Source organism: Homo sapiens (genome assembly GCF_000001405.40).
Source record: "Homo sapiens chromosome 1 unlocalized genomic scaffold, GRCh38.p14 Primary Assembly HSCHR1_CTG7_UNLOCALIZED".
Taxonomy (NCBI): domain Eukaryota; kingdom Metazoa; phylum Chordata; class Mammalia; order Primates; family Hominidae; genus Homo; species Homo sapiens.
In genome coordinates, this window is record NT_187367.1 from 154,065 (window position 1) to 176,043 (window position 21,979).

Sequence of the window (21,979 nt, forward strand, 5' to 3'; positions counted from 1 at the left end):
CTTTGGCAACTCACCAAATAAATGTGATTTAGGTAATGAATATGCTTTGGGGATACTCAGGGCTATCAAATTAGCCATGATATTAAACGTGATAATAAGCCATGACATGAAAAAGCTTGTAATCCAGTGGGAAGACCCAAGCCTGAATCCACAGTGGAAACAGTTTTCTGTGCTTTTCTGCTTCCCCTTGCACCTGCTAATAGCCCCCCTGTGTGATCAACCTGTCTCCCCTAGTTTTAGATGACCACACACCGCAATGTAACTGCACGCCCCCAACTCTCTGCACCACCATCTCCCACGGGATCTACTATATCTACTACCTCTACCCCTTCAACATAGAGTATCAGATCCTGGCCTCCACAGTGCTCTACGTCCTATGGAAGAACATCGGGCGCAAAGTTGACAGCCATCAGCACCAGAAGATGCAGTTCAAGCCTGATGGGGTCACAGTGGGCACAGTCCTGGGCCTGACCGCGCTGGCCGCCACCATTGCCGTGGTGGTGGGTGGTGTACCTGATTCATATTGGGTGCTCCAAGACCAAGAGCAAGTCAGCACTCATCACGTTCTACCTGTATGTCATCACCCTGATGAAGCTTATGGGGGCTGCGGGGCTGGCTGGAATCCGGATTTACAGGACAGATGAGAAGTCACTGGATGAGTCCAAAAATCCGCCCCGCAAACTGGACTCGGACCTCTTGGTGGGCACTGCCTCAGGCTCCTGGCTTATCTCCTGGGGCTCAATCTTGGCCATCCTTTGTGCCGAGGACCACCCCCACTACACCTGGTACAACCTGCCCTACTCCATCGTGGTGATCGTGGAGAAGTACATCCAGAACCTCTTCATCTTTGAATCCATTCACCGAGAGCCTAAAAAACTCTCTGAGGACATCCAAACCCTTCGGATGGTCACAGTCTGCAATGGCAACACCATGCCCCTTGCTTCCTCCTGCCTCAAGAGTGGAGGTGTGGCCGGAGACGTGGCTCCCTGGGGCAGGGACATGCCACCAGCAGCCAATGGAAATGTGTGCCTGAGAGAAAGCTGTGACAAGGAGGAGAAGCACGAGGAGAGCAGCTGGGGAGGGAACCCAAGCCCAGTCCACCTTCCTCGTTTCTTACAGGGCAACGCCAAGAGAAAAGTCCTGAGGAATATTGCAGCCTTCTTGTTCCTCTGCAATACTTTGGTAATCTGCACCAAGTTATTCTTATTCTTTTAATTTTGCTGTAAACTTTCATTTTAGGTTCAAGGGGTACGCATGCAGATTTGTTACATGGGTAAATTGCGTGTCGCTGAGGTTTGGTGCACAAATGATCCCGTCACCCAGGTAATGAGCATAGTACCCGATAGGTAGTTTTTCACCCTGCACCCCACTTCCGACCTCTCCCCCAGTAGTCCCTAGTAGTGTCTATTGTTCATATATTTGTGTTCATGACTACCCAATGTTTAGCTCCCACTTATAAGAGAGGACATGAGGTATTTGGTTTTCTGTTCCTGTGTTAATTCACTTAGGATAAGGACTCCATTTCTATCCAGGTTGCTGCAAATAATGTGATTTCATTCTTTTTTAAGACTGCATAATATTCCATGGTGTAGAGCTACCACATTTTCTATTTATTTTTTTTTTGAGAGAGGGTCACGCCCCATTGCCCAGGCTGGAGTGCAGTGGCATGATCACAGCTCACTGCAGCTTCGACCTCCTGTGCTCAAGCAATCCTCCCATCTCAGCCTCCTGAGTACCTGGGACCACAGGCATGTGCCACCACACCTGGTTAATTTTAAAAACTTTTTTTGTTTTTGAGAGAGAGTTTCACTCTTGTTGCCTAGGCTACAGTGCGATGGTGCTCACTGCAACCTCTGCCTCCCGAGTTGAAGTGATTCTCTTGCCTCAGCCTCCAGAATAGCTGGGATTACAGGCACCTGCCACCACAGTTGGCTAATTTTTGAAAATATTTTTAGTAGAGATGGGGGTTTCACCATGTTGGCCAGGCTGGTTTCGGACTCCTGACCTCAAGTGATCCACCTACCTTGACCTCCCAAAATGCTAGGATTACAGGTGTGGGCCACCATGCCTGGCCAAAACTTTTTTTTTTTTTTTTTTTTTTTTTGTAGAGATAGGGTCTCACTGTGCTGCCCAGGCTTGTCTTGAACTCCTGCGCTCAAACAATCCTCCTGCCTCAGCTTCCTAAAGTGCTAGTATTACAGATGTGAACCACTGTACCCGGCCATAATACATTTTCTTTATCCAGTCCATTATTGATGGACATCTAGGTTTCTCTTGGCCTTTTTAAAATAAGGAATGGAGGCAGCTTGTAATAAAAATACTGTAAGTATAAAATTACAATATAAGGCTGGAAAATAGACCTATATTCTACAAATCTACCTACTAAAGACTTGCTGTGTGCTAGGGGCTGGGCTAGGTACTAAAGATTAAAGTGGAAAGACTCAGTCTCTTTCCTCTAAAAGGTCTCAGTATAATGGGGGAGGGAGACAATGAGCAAATCTAATATAGTGAACAGGACAAGTGCTGAGATGGGCTTGTGCAAGGTGTACTAGGAGCAGGGATCCAGAAGGACTTCAGTGAGTAGTGGGTGCTTGAGGTGAGGCCCAGTGTCAATCAGGAGTGCTTTTAGTTGCAAGTGACAGGCAATTTGATTCACAGTGTCTTCAGTCTTAACAATGTTTAATTATCTCATGAGAATTCCGGAGGTTGGCTGCTTGGGGTTGGCCTGGCAGCTGAACCATGTCATCAGGCATCCAGGCACTGTTCATCTTGTCACTTGGGTGGTGTGGTGTTTGTTGTGACATGGTCATGAGATGGCTGCAGCTGCACCAGGCATCACATCTGGGTTCAAGACAGAAAGCAGTGGGGAAGGGCTGGTGCCAGACAATGTCTCTCATGTGGGCACCCCTCACTGCAAGGGAGGCTGGGGAAGTAGAGGGTTTGCTTCCCAGCCTCTCTGATGGAAGGTAGCAAGGGAGAGGAAGGTGTACAGTCACTCACCCATCTGTCTGCATCAGCAAGGAATGACTGGAAGTTCACCAGGTTATCAAGGCGGGGAAAAGCATTTCAGGCAGAGACACACAATATGTGAAGACACAGAGGCAAAAGACACCATGGCATGTTTTGAGAGCACCAAGTAGTTTGGCATAAATTCCATGTGTGTTAAGCAGAGTAGCAGAATGGGAAATAGGAGAGAGGGCCCAGGTAGGTGGACTCTGGCTTGAGCAGGGCTTCCTAGGCCTGGCTGGAGTCTAGTCTTTATGTTGAGGGCAAGGGAAGACTCTCTCAGATTTGTGTTTTGGAATGATCCTCCCAGTAGCTGTGTGTAGCAAGGACGGAGACAGATAGGGCCAGAAGCAGAAAGACTGGGAGAGAAAGCCCTGCAACAGCCCAGGCAGGAAGGGGAGGAGCTTGAACTAGGGCAGTGATGGAGGGATGGAGAGAAGAAAAAGGAATAAGAAGCATTGTGTGCTGTTGGGATTTTTTTAAAGACACATAAAGGAAGGATGGTGGGGGTCAGTAAGAAGGAGGGGGAAGCAGCCTTTGCCACCGCATGAGTCTCTGCAGTGATGGTGACTGGTGGCTGGAGGGGAGTGCCCCAGTCCACAGAGGTGCCTGCCCATCACTCTGGGTGAAGTCAGCTCTGTGCTACTAGCCTCTGTTATCAAGCCTGCTCCCTGTTGCCCCAGCAGCTCAGAGGCTTTTGAGCTTCCTCCCCTGAATTTCAGATGGTGCATACGGGGTCTGCAGCTTTTGATATCACCCTAAGAACACAAAGTTGGGAAAGTAAGTCCCTTCTAAAGTCAGAATGGCTGTGTGTCTGCCAAGCAAACCTGATCCACCCTAGCCTTGGATCACCCAGGTTCCTTCAGTTTGCTAGGCAGTGAGGAGGGGCTCTGAAGGTGGAAGGCCCAGAAGAGTTTGGCTGCAGGGAGACCCTCTTCTCCATCTAACAGACATTTGCCAGGCACCTGCTGTATGCCAGGGACTATGTCAGGGGCACAGCAGTGAGTCAAAAATTGAAAGAGTTAACAAGAGAGATAGATACTGTAAGCTGCATTTTTTTGAGGTGCATATTCCAAAATGCAAATTCTTATAAAGTCAGAGCTAGTTCTAGAATCTTCCTCAAGTATATGCTTTTTGTACATATCCTGTGATTAATATTAATATACATATATTTTGAGATGGAGTCCTGCTGTGTTGCCCAGGCTGTAGTGCAATGGTGCGATCTCGGCTCACTGCAACCTCCGCCTCTTGGGTTTAAGTGATTCTCCTGCCTCAGCCTCCCGAGGAGGTGGGACTACAGGCATGCAACAACCATGCCCAGCTAATTTTTCTACTTTTAGTAGAGACAGGGTTTCACTAGGTTGGTCAGGGTGGTCTCGAACTCCTGACCTCAGGTGATCTGCCTGCCTAGGCCTCCTAAAATGCTGGGATTACAGGCGCGAGCCACTGCTTCTGACCTAATATTTCTTTTTAAAACTAAGTTCTGAAAAGTTGTCTTTCCCTGGTTGCCTTTTTGGTTGACCACTGGGTGAAATACTTGGCTTGCATTTTTGGACCCACTTGAAGAAAGATAGCACTGTCCGAAATACCAGAATCAAGTGGCAATTCATGGTCTGTCAGGACCCGAAAGCCAGACCCAGGGCCCAGTCCAAGGAGAAGGGTGGGCTCCGTCTCTTCCTCCCTGTGCTTGGCCCATGATGCCCCCAGGCACTGGTTGGGTTCTGGGGGGTTGAACCAGAGGATGGAAATCATCGCAGGGTGGAGTCTTAGGATACCCGTGCTGGCTCATGGGTGGCACTTTGAAACCTTGTGGTTGACCCCAGGTGGTGCCAAAGGCATCTGGCAGAGAGCAAGAGCTGTCTTCTCCAGCATCGGGAGCCAGTCCAGAGGCCCCAGCTGCAGGTGCTGATGTGCATGTCCAGGTGGAGCGGGCTCCACTCCAGAGACGGACATGGAAATGTTAGTTGAATTTCCAGGAGCCGTGGCACTGGAGACAACAGAGGGTGGTTGTGGTGACCGGGAAGGGCAGGGTGCTGTGGGAGATGGGTCAGGGAAGGCCTCTTCTAAGGAAGGGTGTGGATGGGGCTGGGATGAGAGACTATCAGGGCAGAGCTGCAGGTGTGGGGAAGGGACGGATGCAAGGCAAGGCAGGGCTCACTGGACATGACCTGGGAGCACAGAGCAGAGGGCAGAGGGGAGACCACACAGGGCCTGCGAGCCAAGACTCAATCCTAAATGCAACAGAAAACCATGGAAAGGTCTACACTGAGAGTGACGGGATCTGACTCATGCTTATTTTGTTATATTTTTAATTGTGGTAAAAAACTCATCAAATAAACTTTCCCATTGCACCCACTTTCAAGTGTATAGTGGAGTAAAGTACGTTCACATTGTGCAAACATCACACCATCCATTTCCAGGTTATTCTCGTCTGGCAAAACTGAAACTCTGCCCCCATTAAATATGAACTCCCCATTCTCCCCAGCCCCTGACAACCACCGTTCTTTCAGTCTCTAGGAATTTGACTCCTAGACTCCTCATATAAGTGAATTTGTGGAGTATTAGTCCTTTTGTGATTAGGTTATTTCACTCATCATAACATCCTCCAGGGTCTCCAGGTTGCAACTCGCAAAGGGTGACAGATGCCAAACATGACCCCTGCCTTCACACTTGAGTTCCTGGGGAGATGGTGATACTATGTTGGAGATGGAGGAGGACTCTGGAGGAGGGGCAACCTTGGGAGCAGTGGGTGGAGGTCAGTGTGGAAGGAAGAACCAGAGTTAAGTAATGAACGTGTTCTGTTTCAGGTGCCTCTGTGGCATCCAAATGGACGAACCCAGTAGACAGATATTTTGGTTTTCTATTGCCGTGCAATGAACTACCACTAATGTATGACAAAAGCAACATGCATGACTGTTTTTGTCCCATAGCATTTATTGTGACTCGTGGCTTTGTGGGTTAGAAATTCTGGCAGGGCTTGGATGGGCAGTTCTGTTCCTCACAGCATCAAGTGAAGTTGGTGAAGCCTTGGCCAGAAGCTCCGTGGTCTGGTGCCTTGGGTGGGGGTGGCTGGGAGGCTGGGCTCAGCCAGGACTCTTGACTGGGGCATCCACAGGTGGGTCTCCAGCATGACGTCTCAGGGTGGTTGGACTCCATGCGTGATGGCTGAGGGCCCCAGAGCTGACCCTCCAAAAGACTGAACTGGAAGCTGCCTGTCTCCTAAGGCCTGGGCTTGGAAACTGCATGGTGTCATTTCTGCCATATTTTATTAGTCATGTAGTCACAGAGTCCATCTAGATTCAAAGAAAGAGGTCATAGGCCACTTCTCAATAGGATAAGTAACAAGAATTTCCAGCCAACTAAACAGCACATATAAAGATGTGGATTTCAGAAAAGAGGTCCCATTTTCCTGCCTTCCTTTCTTCTCCCTTTTCCTCCCTGTCTCCCTTGCCCTTCCTCTCACCCTTCCTTTAAAAGGTGTCCCTTAAGTACCTACAGAGGTACAGGGACTGCTATGAATGGTGAGGGTACAGCAATGACCAAGATCTCTGGTCTTCCTCTTATGGGGCTTACAAACCAGGCAACAGCAGGTGAAACCATCAACTGAGCAAGAAAGACACCTTATAGTGTACCCGTGTTAAGCAGAGAAGTGGAAAAGGAGGGTGTGGGAAATAGCTCTTGGGCTGCCATTGTAGATCAGATGGACCAGCTTAGCGGGAAGGCCTCGCTGAAGGGTGACACGAGACAGGAAGGGGTTGGCCACGCATGTTCAGGGCAGAGGGAACAATGGCTGGTATAAAACCCCCAGTGGGAGTGAGCGGGTCTGGTTTGAGAAACAGGAAGAAGGGTTGCCTGCAATGTGGGTGGGGTGAGTGGAGAGAAGCGTGGGTGGTTAGAAATCAGCTAACAGAGCACTTTATCACTCCGTGCGGGAGTGTAGAATTTATTTTAAATATTTTGGGAAGACTTTAGGGGTTTAATCAAGGTAGGGACAGGATCTGATTTCCATATAATGTAAATCTGGTGGCCGAGTGGAACCCTAGTTCGAGCTGGGAGACCAGGCACGGGGCCACCGCCATGGTCCAGGTGAGAGAGGCCGGCTGGACAGGTGGAGAGAGAGAGCCACAGGTGGGCTGAAGATACTGCTTTGGAGGTGCACAGTGGAGATGCGCTGAGGGACTGGATGGGAGGGGGCATGGTTATGAGAGTAGGAGGGAGATAAGGTTGACACCTGGAGCCTCGATGGACCACCTGGGAGGACGATGTAGCTGAGCAGATGGAGAAATGGGGAAGGTGGGTTGAGTTTGAGATGTGTTTTAGACACCCAAGTTGCCACCGGAAACTATGAGTCTGGGGTTCTTGGAAGTGGTCCAGGCTGGAGATTGAGACTGGGAAGTCATAGGCCTATAGCTGGTATTTACAACCAGGGACTGGGAGAAAGCCCCAGGGTTCATGTGTAGAGAGAATAGAAAGGGACCCAGGAATGAGCCCTGGACGCTGGCTAACATTAAGAGGCAGAGCAAAGGATGAAACAGCAAAGGAGACTGGGAGGGACCCGCCGAACAAGTAGGAGAGCTCCTAAGAGTCACAGCAGCCAGTAAGCAAAGCAGAAGAGAGGGGTCTTGGTTCCAGGGCCCCCGTGGTGTATACCAAATGCACAGATGCTCAAGTCCTATACTTGCATGTAACCTACCCATCCTCCCGTACACTTTAAGACATCTCTAAATTACTTAGAATACCTAATACAATTTAAATGCTATGTAAATAGTTGTTACATTGTATTGTTTAGAGAATAATGACAAGAAGAAAGTTTGTACCTATTCAGTACAGACACAACAAACCATTTTATTTTTTTAATTAATTTATTTTTATTTTTTGAGACCGAGCTTCACTGTTGCCCAGGCTGGAGTGCAGTGGCATGATCTTGGCTTACTGCAAGCTTCGCCTCCTGGGTTCAAGGGATTCTCCTGCCTCAGCCCCCTGAGTAGCTGGGATTACAGGCACATGCCACTACACCTTGCTAATTTTTTGTATTTTTAGTAGAGATGGGGTTTCACCATGTTGGCCAGGCTGGCCTTGAACTCCTGACCTCAGGTGATCCACCTGCCTCGGCCTCCCAAAGTTCTGGGATTATAGGTGTGAACCACTGTGCCCAGCCTACTTTTTGAATATTTTTGATCTGTGGTTGGTTCAATCCACAGACACAGGTCCCTGGATACAGAGGTCGGCTGTATATACCAGGGAGTGTTCTGTATGGAGATACAAATGAAGGCTATGTGTCTCAGTTACCTATTGCTATGGAAGAGACCACACCAATACTCAGCAACTTAAAACAATGTACATTTATGATTTCATAGTTTCTCTGACTTATGAATCCAACTACAGTTTTAGCTGAGTATCTCTGCACAGGGCCATTCCCAGGCTGAAACTGTTGGCTGGGGCTGCATTCATTTCAAGGCTTGACTTTCCGAGAGGTGGCAGAGGATTTGTTTCCAAATCTACTCATGTGACTGTTGGCAGGATTCAGCTGTGGCTTGTTGGGCTGAGGGTCTGAGTTCCTTGCTGGCTGTTGACAGGGGTACTCCCTGGGCCCCTTGCCGCATAGGGTGCTTCGCAGCATGGCAGCTCTGCCACCTGTCTTTCAGGAGAAGATGAGCAAGAGGGATAGCAGGTCCTTTTGCAACCTAATTTCAGAGGTGACTTCCTGTGTCTTTTGCCATATTTTGTGAGTTGGAAGTGAGTCATTAGGTGCATCCCACACTAAAGGGGTGGGGACTCCACAAGAGGGTGACTGCAGGAGCTGGGGATCATTGAGGGTCATCCTAGAGGCTGCCTGCCACAGCCAGGGAGTGGAGGAAGCTGAAGAAGGGTGCAGCCTGAAGCGGGAGTGAGGAGCCTGACAACTCAAGGGGTGGCAGAAAGGGAGAGAACTGGGACAGAGAAGAGCCTGAGAAGCAGGGAACAGTGCGTAGGTTCTGTGAGCAACACAAACAAAAGTCACTGCTTTCAGTTTTGCAAACTTAATTCTCATCTAAGCCCTCTCAGACACGTGTTAGAATTCCCATCTTTCAAATGAGGAAACTGAGGCTGGGCGAGGGCTGTAGAGATGGAGAGAGTTGGATGGGTTCAAAGAGCACTCATTAGGGATGGATTGCAGGGAAGGGTGGGTGAGGAAGTGAGCAGGATCATGGCAGACATGGATTTGGTGGTTTCTGTGGAGATGGGAAATGCCACGAGGTCTCCTTATTGTTCTGTCAGGGGTGACTCAGTCCCCGTGCATCAGGGTCAGCTCCCATGAGGCCTGGGACTTGAGTGGGGCCTCCGTGGTGGCTTGGAAGCTGCTCCCCACCACAGGCCATTTTCTCTTCTCTTGCAGCTTTGGATACCTCCCGCTTTTGGCTGTCGACCTGAGTATGACAATGGATTGGAGGAGATTGTCTTTGGCTTTGAACCCTGGATAATTGTGGTCAACCTGGCCATGGCTTTTTCTATTTTCTATGCAATGCACGCAGCTGCCTCCCTCTTTGAGGTCTATTGTAAGATATAGTCTGGGTCCACAAGAGACTAACAAGTGACTAACAAGAGTGAGCTAACAAGAGTTCATTGGAGCCAACTGGGAATGGCCAGGTTGGACAAATATTGCCTGACAAACATGAGAAGGGCCACCTTTTGTCTGCAAAGATTGTGCTTCCTGTGGGCTGGAACTGCCCATCACCCCTGATGAATGTAAACAAGTTAGATCAAAATCCATAAGGTGGCTGGAATCTGTCCTTGGTTAGTTAAATGCTAATCAAGCCCAAATTATTTTATTGCCTTCTAAATGATTTAGAAGAATGTGATTCTGGCTTGGGAAAAAATCTATCCAGTTTGTTTTTCATAAAAAGCATTTTCTTTGTGTCATTTATCATGTGACTCCATACAACCTTTTCCTGACCACCTGCATAGTAATTTATACTTTAAAAATTTATCCTTCTCAAAGCCTATGAATTTAGACACAATCACTATTGTTTCTGAATAGGTTTAATTTCTTGAAGTTATTTTTATCAGCTGGATAGAAATTTGTATACAGACCCATATAAAACACATTTCTTACCTGAAATGTTGGCACATTTTTGTGATCATTTTCAAGTATTTTTAAAAAGAAATTTCACTGTTCTCTCTTTCACTGTAAATACACACATGTTTATTGTAAAAAATTTGGATATTTCAGAAAAGTAGAGAGAAAAAGTCACCTACGATGCCATTGTTCAATTAACAATTACTTTTAATATCTTGGTGTATTTCTTCCGACCATGTTGATGAGATTCTTTTTATTGTCATTATTATACCTTTGAATGGTGATGTAACATATTTGATTTTGTATTCAGTTATTTTCCTACTTAACAATATGGCATAAACCTTGCCCCCATATTGTTATAAGTTCTTTATAAATATCATTTTAATGCTGTATGATAGTCTATCAAGTGAATGTACCTTAATTAACATAGTTTCCTATGGTTGGTTTTACAGTGTTTATAACTTTTTGCTTTTATAGGTAACTCTGCAAAAATCAACCATATTTGTGAAGCATTTCCTATATTTAGAATTGCTTCTTTAAGATATGGAATTACAATTAGGATGCCTAGTCCAAAGATTAAGTTTAGAAATATTTCAAAGGTGCCTAAGGAATATTGACATTTGGGAGGCCTTTGTATAGCTTTTCCACAGCTATTTTAAAATAATAATAAAATTAATTTTCTTAATGTAAGTATTAATGTATCTTTTCATTTGAGTGTATTTTTTTTCAGACAGTGCAGGCAATGGGACAGTAATAAATACAAAGTTTTTTTTTAACATGACTAAAGTACACTTATTTTAGAAAAAACTAAAAAATAGGCATATATACTAAAAAACAAAGGAAAGCATCATCTATACATGTCCCATCTAGAGAATCGGTTCTCCAACTGGGGACCTTGTTCCTTGAGGGGACATTTAGCAATATCTGAAGACATTTTTTAATATTTATTTTTTATTAAAATTAAAATAAATCTAAATTATACATAATATTTATACATACTTACAGGGTACATGTGATATTTTGATATAAACATATAATAAATAATAATCAAATCAGGGTGACAGATATTCATACCCTCAGGTATGTATCTTTTTTGTGTGTTAGGAACATTCTAATTTCACTATGTTAGTTACTCTAAAATATACAATAAATTGTTGTTAACTATAGTTGTACTTTTGTGCTACCAAACACATTTTTGATTGTTACACTACTGCACCCAGGGATACTGCTAACACCCTACAACACACAGGACAGCCCCACCACAAAGTCTTCGGGCTGATTGTCAATGGTGCTGAGGTAATCTAGAGGTAATTGCTGTTAAGTATTGTTATCTAGGTAGCTATTAGTACACACACACAGGCTGGACATGGTGGCTCACGCCTGTAATCCCAACACTTTGGGAGGCCACAGAAGGATCGCTTGAGGCCAAGAGTTTAAGACCAGCCAGGGAACACAAACATAGTGAGACCCTGTCTGTACAAAACACAAAACAAAAAACCCAGGTGCGGTGGAGTATGCCTGTAGTCCCAGCTACTCATGAGGCTGAGTGGAGAGGATCACTTGAGCCCAGGAGTTTGAGATTGGGTAGTGAGACAAGATTGTGCCACTGCATTCTAGCTTGGGTGGCACAGCAAGACCCTGTCTCTAAAAAATAAAAATTAAAAAAATTATATATATATATATATATTTTGTTTTTTTTATTTTTTTGAGACAGACTTTCACTCTTGTCACCCAGGCTGGAGTGCAATGGCATGATCTTGGCTCACTGCAACTGCCGCCTCCTGGGGTCAAGCGATTCTCCTGCCTCAGCCTCTGGAGTAACTGGGATTACAGATGCCTGCCACCACGCCCAGCTAATTTTTGTATTTTTAGTACAGACAGGGTTTCATCATATTGGCCAGGCTGGCCTTGAACCCCTGACCTCAGGTGATCCACCCACCTTGGCCTCCCAAAGTGCTGGGATTACAGACGTGGGCCACCACACCCAGCCGATATTTTTTTTTTTCAAAAGTACGCATACATCGACACCCACACCCACACCCACACCCACATGAAGGCGGTGTTTTTATGTATACTGCGTTTGTATGTAACTTGCTTTTTTCCTCTTGATACACCAGAGTGCTTCTTCCCTATTTTGGGTCCCAGGCATCGATGCTCTGGCTTTAGTGTGCCTGAGACTCATCTGGGGAACTTGTTAGGATTCCTGCCCTCCAAGCTGGAAGTGCAGATTCAGTCTGGAGGGGGGCCCGGAAGTCTGCACTTTCATGAGCATCTCAGGGGGTGCCAACTCCCTTTGATAAGCATCTCCTTGGACGTCCATGGACCCCAAGCTAGGACTCCCGAGTAAGTTTCCTTGACATTGCATATCCATATGCAGTATGATTTTGGGTGGATTTAAGGTACATTCCATGGAAGGATGTACCATTCCTTATTTTTTCAAACGGTGATGTTGGACATTTAGAGATATTTAGGTGGTTCCTTTTTTTGGTGCTACTGTAAACAATGCTATGGTGATCATCTTTGTAACTGAGTCTTTGAGGTCAGTAACAAACTATCCTCTGGAGTGATTTATGCTGACTAAGCAGTGACTGAGCAGGAATACAGGTTTCCCCATTTTGGTTGGCATTACCTTTACCCCTGTTCTAAGCACATTAGAAAAGCCCTGAGGCCTCAGCTGTGGGTTTTGGGCTCTTCCAAGGAGACAAAGGAGCTATCATAATGCTGGGAATGATGGATCCAGGCTGTGGGGATGCTATTGTGGACACAGGGCAGCATCAGAGCTTGGAAAAGCCTGCATGGCTGGCCAGGCTCAGCGTTTCCAAGAAAGGATCTAAAGATGGATGAAGCATCTCCTATCCTCAACAGGCAGCCTCAGGGATGGCTATTTCAGCCAGGTGCTTTTTACCTCCAAGTAATTAAGCATCCTGACTCAACCAGCGTAGGTGGCAAGGAAAATTTACTATCTTAATGCCAAGGCAATTTGCCAAAGAGGAACCAGAATGTGCAATACACAAGTGTTAAGGTCTCAGGGAATACAAATTGAAATAATAATGAGTTACCACTTCCCATTCATTAGATTGGCAAGAGTTGGCAAGAAGTGAAAGAAAGACTCATATATACTGCTAGTGGGAGCGTAAATGAATAAAATCAGATAGGACAGCAATTGGCAATATTGACTAAGGCTGGAGGTACACATTCCTTACGACCTAAGAATTCTGTTCCCTGGCATGTGCTCCAGAGACAACCTCACACCTGTGTTCAGGAATGTTCACTCAGCATAATTGTAATTAGGAAAATGGAAAACAGCCTAAATGCCTGTCAATTAGGAGTGCAGATAGACACACTAGGGACAATTTCCATAATGGACTATTTCACAAGAGGAAAAAATGAACACAACAGAATTCATGTATCAACATGGATAGTCCCCCAAAACAATGTTGAATGAAACATTAAGTAGTGTAGGGGTATAATTGGTATGATACCATTTATATGATGTCTAGGAACAAGCAAAACAATCCCTGATATTGCTGGGGGATATGTCCATATGTAGTAAGATTACAAACACACCTGAAGAAAGAATGCATGCCAAGTTCAGTGTAGTGAGAAGGGGAGGGGCTTGGAACCAGCAACTGAGTTCATGCTGTGTCCGAAATATTTTTTCTTAAGCAAAGATGTATTCATTATGTTTTCATCTGCACTCTTAAAATGTACTCTTTAAATGTACTTTTAATGTATTTTAAAGAAATTTTAAATGAGATATTTAATAATACAAGTATTTGAGAGCAATAAAAAAAGAAAGTCCATACAAGGAAGATGAACTTAGAGAGAGCTACCAGAGCAGGTAAATTTCCAGCATTCTTCCATCATTGTTGAGAGATGGGTATCAAAGCCAGTGGTGTTCTGTTCTCCTTGGCAGGTAGATCCCCAAGGTGGGGTAGCTCAATGCAATTAGCTGGTAAGATCACCGGACTCACTCTTCCAGGGATGACTCCGTGCACATTAGGAAACCTGACATTGGTTTGCCTTCCAATGTCGCTCTTTGCTGTGGGGGCAATGCCCTGGGCACACATATTATCAGAACAATCTGCAATGGACTGGATGTTTGTTTCCCCCTTAAATTCATATGTTGAAGCTTAATGGCAATGTGGTGGTATTTGGAGGTGTCGTCTTTGGGAGGTAATGAGGTCATGATGGTAGGACCGTTGTGAATGGGATTAGCGCCTGTAAGAGGGGGCCAGAGAGCTTGTGCACTTCTTTTCTGTCATGTGAGGATGCAATGAGAAGACAGCTGTCTGTGACCTGGAAGAGGGCCCTCACCAGAACCCAACCATGCCAGCACTGGCACCCTGATCTTGGGCTTCCAGCCTCCAGACCTGTGAGAAATAAATGCCTGTTGTTGATTAGCCACCCAGCTTGTGCTATTTTGTTACAGCAGCTTGCACTGAGTAAGTTACTCCCTTACCTGCTGTAACCGTATACAGGAGGGGCCTGTGCATTTGGTAGCTTGGGTTCCTCCCTGAGCCTGTGAAACTCAGATTTGAACTCATGTATTTTGGGTGCCATGACTCTTGTCGAGGCAGAGTGAAAGGGCAAGGGCATGGAGCTAGATATCCAGGGTGACAACAGGCTCCCATGGTGCCTGAGTGTGCATTAAAAAAAGCACCCCTTCCACAAGACATTCTCCAAACTGTCGAACCAAACCCACCAGCATCTTCCTACCTGCCCATGTGCCGGGGTGGGGGGAAAATTAGACATGTTTGTCTCCCCACTACAAATGTCGGCCAAAAGATCCAACTGGAAAATGCTTGCTACTACCTTCCAGTTTCACGACCCTCTCAGCTAAGGAAGCCCTTCCTGCATCCATGTCTCTCTATGCCTGTCTGTGAAGTCCCAGCTCACAGCTGACCTGGTTAGGTAAGCACTGTTATTTTGTTTCAACGGAGGGAACCTTTGGATTACATGTACATAGCTAGTCAGTGGCAGCATTTGGTTCATCACGCTGGTTTTAAAAACTCCATTGCCTTTTCTCTTCATTAGTCCTATCATCTTATGAAGAAAGTCAACTCAGTAAAAATATCCGTCAAACAATGGCTTAGGGATATGCGTACAGAACAATCAAATCAGCTGACAGAATATCTGGCTTTTCACCCAGTTATAAAATGTTGTGCTTTGCTTAACATGGTGAAGAACGAAAGCTGCTAACAGCTGATTTCTTTCTCCCAAAATGTGAGCCCTGCTATGGGAGAGCGCAACCAGCAGGGGGTGCTGGCGTCTTTCCCTGAACTTCAGGGCACGCTTGAGAGAGGGTACCTGGCGGGTGGGCAGTGGCCTCAAGTTACCAAACGAAGGGGTGGGCGCAAGGTGTGCTGATTGGACTCCATTGGCTGCGCTGGGTTCCCGTAGCGTATGTGAGAGATACCTGTCACCACTTCCCGGCTAAGACCCAGCCAGTTTCAGCAAGGACGTTCCCTCCACTGGACCCACCAGGACCCACTCCCTGCAGGGCACCATGGTCCCTCTCAAGAGGCTTTGGAGGAACTTGGGAGTTACAGGGTGTTCCCCTGATGGGAGAGTCCCTGGCATGCCGCGTGTGAATGGGACTGAGTTGGGTGGGGGAGGCTGGGAGGGCACTTGTGCTGGGTGTGATGGGGGAATGTAGTCCATGTTAGTTCCTCCTAAGAGCAGCCACTAAGAGGACTCTGGGGAGGGACAGATGGGTGCAGTGTTTTAACCCACAAATGGGAGGGTAATTCTGGCATGATGGTGGTTTTAGCAATGTTAGTAATGCACGGACCACCATAACCATGATAGTGAAGCTACATGTCTAAAAAATGTAAATCAAATCAGGCCACCTGCTAAAAACGATTCAATGGTTTCCCATTGCCCCCCCTCCCTTTTTTTGAGGCCGAGTTTCGCTCTTGTCACCCAGGCTGGAGTGCAATGGCATGATCTCAGCTCACTGCAACCTCCGCCTCCTGGGTTCAAGCGATTCTCCTGCCTCAGCCTCCTGAGTAGCTGGGATTACAGGCGCGCGCCATAACACTTGTCTAATTTTTGTACTTTTAGTAAAGATGGGGTTTCACCATGTTGGTCAGGCTGTTCTCGAACTCCTGACCTCAGGTGATCCACCCGCCTCGGCCTCCCAAAGTGCTGGAATTATAGGCATGAGCTACCGCGCCCCGCCCTCCCATTGCTTTTAGTAGAAAATACAAACTCCTACCCGTGGACTATTGGGGCTATCACGATCTGGGCTCTGCATCTCCATCTTCTCATGCCAGTCCCATCCTCTGCCTCCCCAACCCCATCGCCCTTCCTCCTGCATGGCTGCAGCCACACCTGGCTTCTTCTCTTTAATATTCCTACCATGCCTGCCCCACAGGACCTCCGCAGGAGCTGCTCTCTCTGGGGTGTGCACTTCTGGCTCAGGGCAAGGATCCATCTTTCTCACCCTTCAGGCTGTGTGTAGATAGATGTCCCTCTGTAGTGAAGTCCTCACTATCCAGCTCATTACGCTTCACTTCGGCACCCTGTCCAGACCCTTCACAGTCAGCTGCCAGCTGTGTTTTCTTATTTATTGGTGCTCATCCAGTCCAGTCCTGGATGGGACTGCCTGCCTCATGAGGGCATGAGCTTTGCCTTCTCCTCTCCCGGAACCTCCCTGATGTGGTTGCTTGGACACGTGGGCCACCCTCCCAACACCAGACTATCGCAGGGTGCGGGAAGGGCTGGGGCTGCCGCGGGCCTTGAGGATCGCCATGTTTCCTTCTCTAGTTTTTGAGACATTGGTGAAGATCCTCTGCCTGCTTCTAGCACACACATCCTGATCTCCTTCTGCCTTCAAGACACAAGATGACGCTTTAAGCCTGGTTGTTAAGAAAGAGGACTACAAACGCTTGAGTTTCTTCCCTCTGCTCACTCTCAGACGTGGCTTGCGAGGGGATTTGTGGGGTCCACCTCTCCACAGCTTGGTGGGTGGGTTCCGTCCTCCTCCTCGGACAGGGCAGGACCAGCAGCCAATCACTCCTTCCTGCCAGAGAAGGAAGTGGCGCTCAAACTGTTTTTCTGACATCAGTAATATCTGCCTATACTCCTCCAGCAGGCATCTCTGAAACATCAGTTTTGGGTGATTGGTCTAAGCCAAGCACCTTTGATAGCAAGGGTAAGCCCGCTATCCTTTGCTGGAGATGGGCACGGAGAGGGCATGTGAAGAGTGCCAGACCAGGCGTTGACAAACTATGGCTCATGAGAAGAATGGAGTGTACATTTTTAAAGGGTCATCTCTCTCTCTCTCTCTCACACACACACACACACACACACACACACACACACACACACAGAATATGCTGCAGAGATCATATGTGACCTGACAAGCCTAAAATACTCACTATCTGGTCCTTTATAGGAAATGCTTACTGACCTCTGGTCTAAACACTGAGAGGTAAGGGACCTCTGCTGCACCGCCCTGGAGGGATTTTTGATCCCTAAATAAGAAGAGGTGAGGAGGAAGCCTGCCCTTCCTCCTGGCCTGAATGTGCTTCTGAGAGGCAGTCAAGCCTGGAACTGTGGCAGCCGGCTTGTGACCATGAAGAAACCAGCCCAAGAAGAAAGGCCAACCTGCCAAGGAGGGAACAGGAGCCTGGGGCCTCGAGGACTTTGCTGAGCCTTCGTGTGACCCTGGAGCCACCTTCCTCTGGAGTTCTTGTGATGGCAGATAATTCAATGTTGTCATTGTTCAAGCCAGGGGTGGGCGAACTTTTTCCATAAAGGGCCACATGGAAAACATTTTAGGCTCTGTGTGGGCCATGAGATCTCTGTTGGCACTACAACCCTAAAAACAACCATAGACAATGTGTAAATGAATGGGTACACCTATGTTCCAATAAAACTTTACTTATAAAAATAGATGGTGGGCTGAATTTGGCCCTGAGGGCCAGAGTTTGCTGCGTATTTTGTTTGTTTGTTTGTTACTTGCAGCTGACCTATCCTAACTAGTACTCCCTGAAGTCTGCCTCAGCTCAGAAGCGTCCTTGGGTTCCAAGCCACAGGGGCTAAGCTTGAGTGTGGGTGGGGTCTGCAGCAGGGTGGTGGGAGGGATAAGCACATAAAGGCCCACACATTGATCTGCCCTTTCTATGGTCCAGGTCGTGCTTTCCTGCAATATCTTCTCATCATGGGCCTAGCAATCATGATGGGAAGGCCTCACTTTAAGAGAATGCTTTCAGCATTTCCAGGCGGTCCCTGCTTGCCCTCAACACTACATGTAGGCCTCAGCCTCCACACCTAGCATGTTTGTTAAGCAAGACTAAGCCACATGAAGCAACAGGGCAAGGGGAGGGCCCTTGTGTTCTCAGGGTCCCACGGCAGAAGTGTGGTTCCGGGAGAAATGGGGGAGTGTGCCCTTCCCTGAACAAGCATATTCCCTCAGTGTGGAGGAGCCCCTCCAAAATTTACAAGTGCTGTGATGACACGATGCTCATTCAGACCATCAGCTGCAGACAGATTGCAGAAATATGTAAGGGCTCTGTCCTTGGAGGTAGGATCTGGTTGCTCCTTGTTCCCTAAGCTTGGCCCTGAAGGGAGGGCAGGATTCCAGCCAGAGTGAATGAAGAGTGAGGCTTTGGGGAAGGGCTCGGATTGCCTCTCGTGCTTGTGTTCAGGTTCCTGCTGATTGGTTGTTCCCCAGGGAGACGAGGCTTCGAGGCCAGGTCTCTGCTCTGAGTTAACTTCACCACCCTGCACCTTGGTGGCAGTAAGAGAGCGACCTCAAAGGGCCGCTGAGAGAATTGAGGTGGATGCCTGTACAGCTCTAGTTATGGCACCCATTCCGGCCCCTGGCAAGCTCTTACTACGGTTGCAGGTGTAATTTCCAGTCTCTGCCTCCAGGGATTGCTGCTGAGCACAGACACGTTTCTCTGCTCACAGAGTGAGGCCGCCAAGATGATTCTCAGATCTCTGGTTCTGTATACAGCCCAGATAGCCTGTGAAAGGGGGAATGATAACCCCCAAAGATGTCCACGTCCTAACCTCCAGAACTAGTGAATGGGATGTTGGCAGAAGAGACTCTGTGGATGAGATTACTTCAAAGATTTGCGACGGGGAGACTATCGTGGGTTATCTGTGTGGATACGCAATGTAATCACAAAGTGTCCTTATAGATGAAGAGGGAGGCAGAGGAGATTCGACTACAGAAGAGAAGGTGATGCGACCGTGGAGGCAGAGATTGGAGTGATGTGCCCACAATTCACAATGCCAGCAGCCACCAAAGAGGCAAGGAATGGATTCTCCTCTAGGGCTTTTACCAAGGGTCCTGGCAACACCTCAGTTTTAGTCCAGGAAGACTCGTTTTGGATTTGTGACCTCCAGAACTATGAGAGAATACATCTGTGTTGTTTGAAGCTGCCAGGTTTGCAGTAGTGTGTTAGAGCAGCGTGGAAAATCCATTGAGTCCCATTGCCCTGCTTTTTATGCCTTGATGCCTTGTACAAAAGCAGAAAATGGTATGGATGGAATGGGAGGTCATTATGTTAAGTGAAACAAGCCAGGCACAGAAAGACACACATTGCGTGTTCTCACTGATTTGTGGGATCTAAAAATCAAAACAGTTCAACTCATGGAGCTAGAGAGCAGAAAGGTGGTTACCAGAGGCTGGGAAGAGGAGTGGGGGGCTGAGGGCAGGTGGGGATGATGTTAGAAAGAATGAATAAGATATACTGTTTGATCACACAGCAGGATGACTGTAGTCATTAATAATTGCACATTTACAAATAACTAAAAGACTGTAATTAGATTGTTGGTATTAGAAAGGATAAATGTGCCGGGTGCAGTGGCTCAGGCCTGTAATCCCAGCACTTTGGGAGGCCGAAGTGGGCGGATCATGAGGTCAGGAGATCGAGAGCATCCCCGTGAACACTGTGAAACCCCATCTCTACTAAAAATACAAAAAAAATTAGCCTGGCATGGTGGCGGGCACCTGTAGTCCCAGCTGCTCAAGAGGCTGAGGCAGGAGAATGGCATGAACCTGGGGGGCGGAGCTTGCAGTGAGCAGAGATCACGCCATTGCACTCCAGCCTGGGTAACAGAGCTGGACTCCATCTCAAAAAAAAAAAGAAAGAAAGAAAGAAAGGATAAATGCTTCAGGGATGGACACCTCATTCTCCATGATGTGCTTATTTCACAGTGCATGTCTGTATCAAAACATCTCATGTACCTCACATATATATGCACCTAATGTGTACCCAGAAAAAAATGAAAAAGAGCATAAAAGAAAAAAAAAAAAAAAACAAAAGCAGAAAAGAGGGCAAATGAGAGTCGGGGACTGTGATCTCATTTTGCCCAGGATGAAGCTGGGTGACCCGGGTACAGAGCAAGCCCCTTGGCTTCTTGAGCTCCCATGTGCAGAGTGAGGGGCGGATGCAGGGGCAGGGTGTGACTTTGATGAACATTCCCTCCAGGTGGCTCTGCCCTCGGCCCCCTCTCAGGATTGTTTGTAGCTCTTTGCCTCTTCTTGGCCATTTGGAGTTTTCAGGGGCCCTACTAGGTCCTCTTGACTTCTCACTTTGCTCTCCTTGGTGGTCTAATTCATGGCCAAGGGCCCACCTGCCGTCCAGACACTGCTTTTCAACCTGACCTCTCAGCTCCAGGCTGGTTATTTCCAACAGCCTACTTGGGTGTCTCAAAGGCACTTTACACTCAATGTGTCCAACACTGAACTCAAGGCTCCCGGCATCGCCATTCAGTTATCCCTCCACATTTCCAACCCTATGGATTGCACTAGCGTCTGTCCATTATGCAGGCCAGGCTGCAAAGGCTGTCTCAATGCTGCCCTTATGCTGTCGGGGCTTAGAACATGACACCCCAAAGCGTGGTGCCTCAGCCTGAGTATTTTGAACTGAAGGACATTGGAAGGAACTCAGAAGCAAGGTCTTTCCAACCTCCTCAGACCCTCTCTTCTGCTTGCCTTCATCCTCCAAAGTGAGTCACAGAAACCAGAATTTATCTTCCTCAAGATGGGTCATAGAACCTAGAAACCCTCCTGCTAAAGCAAACCATAAAACCTAGAAAGGTCACTCTCTATCTTCTCCTTCTCCTTTGAAAACTCTCATTTCAGAAAGGGTCCCGCCCCATACCCAGGAGGAATGGAGGCTACACAGAGAGGCTGAGAAGAATCTGAGCAGACTGTTTTGCTGGGTCCCCTTTCAGTCTGTTCCCAGTAGGTCATACCCGTTTGTCCAATCACATTTCTATCTGGCTGTCCATTCTTCATCTAATCTAAGCATAAAAATTAACAGTTTTCCCTGGGCCTTTGGGTTGTCATTTCTGAAGCCTCCCATGTCACATAAAACTTGGATTAAATAAATTTGCTCTGTTTTTCTCTTGTTAATGTGTCTTTTGTTATAGGAGTGTTGGCCGTGACCCTTAAGATGGATAAGTAAAGGACTCACACCTTCACAGCTCTACAGCCCCATCTCCAATAAGTAGCCACACCTGCCACTTCTACCCACAAATACCTGGATTCCGCTCATCTCTTCCCATTGTCATTCCTACCACTCAATTCCCTGTCACCATCATCTCCTGATGGGTCTTCTGGAGCAGCTTCCTCACTCATCTCTCCAGTTCATCCCTTGCTTCTACCAGTCTATCCTTGCTACGGTAAAACGGGCATTTGAGAAAGGCAATTACACGGTTACCCCTCCCCTGCTCAGCACTCTCCAATTTGATGGACACCAAAATCCTTGCCTTGGTCCCCTTGGTCCTGCGTGCCCTCCTCTCTGGCCTCATCTCAAGCCACTGCCCTCGTGCTGCACTCTTCCTCTGTAATCCACACTGCTGGCTTCTTTTCCTTGAATGTGCTATGCTCCCTCCTGCTGCAGGAGGGCCTTGCACTTGCTGCTTCCTCTTCTTTCTTCTAGTGAATTC

The 21,979-nt window shown here is 47.3% G+C and overlaps 1 long non-coding RNA gene and 1 pseudogene across 1 annotated transcript; one reads left to right on the plus strand and one right to left on the minus strand.

The window, feature by feature from the left end:
• The window catches only part of LOC102724459 (proton channel OTOP1-like), a 31,365-nt pseudogene extending 21,288 nt beyond the window's left edge, over positions 1-10,077 (plus strand).
• A 3,694-nt stretch (positions 10,078-13,771) lies between these two features.
• Positions 13,772-21,973, minus strand: LOC107987366 (uncharacterized). Its single transcript, XR_001756124.2, has 2 exons — positions 17,678-21,973; positions 13,772-17,090 (listed from the first exon to the last, which is right to left on the minus strand). It is a non-coding gene; the product is annotated as an uncharacterized LOC107987366 (long non-coding RNA).
• Between the last annotated feature and the right edge of the window lie 6 nt (positions 21,974-21,979).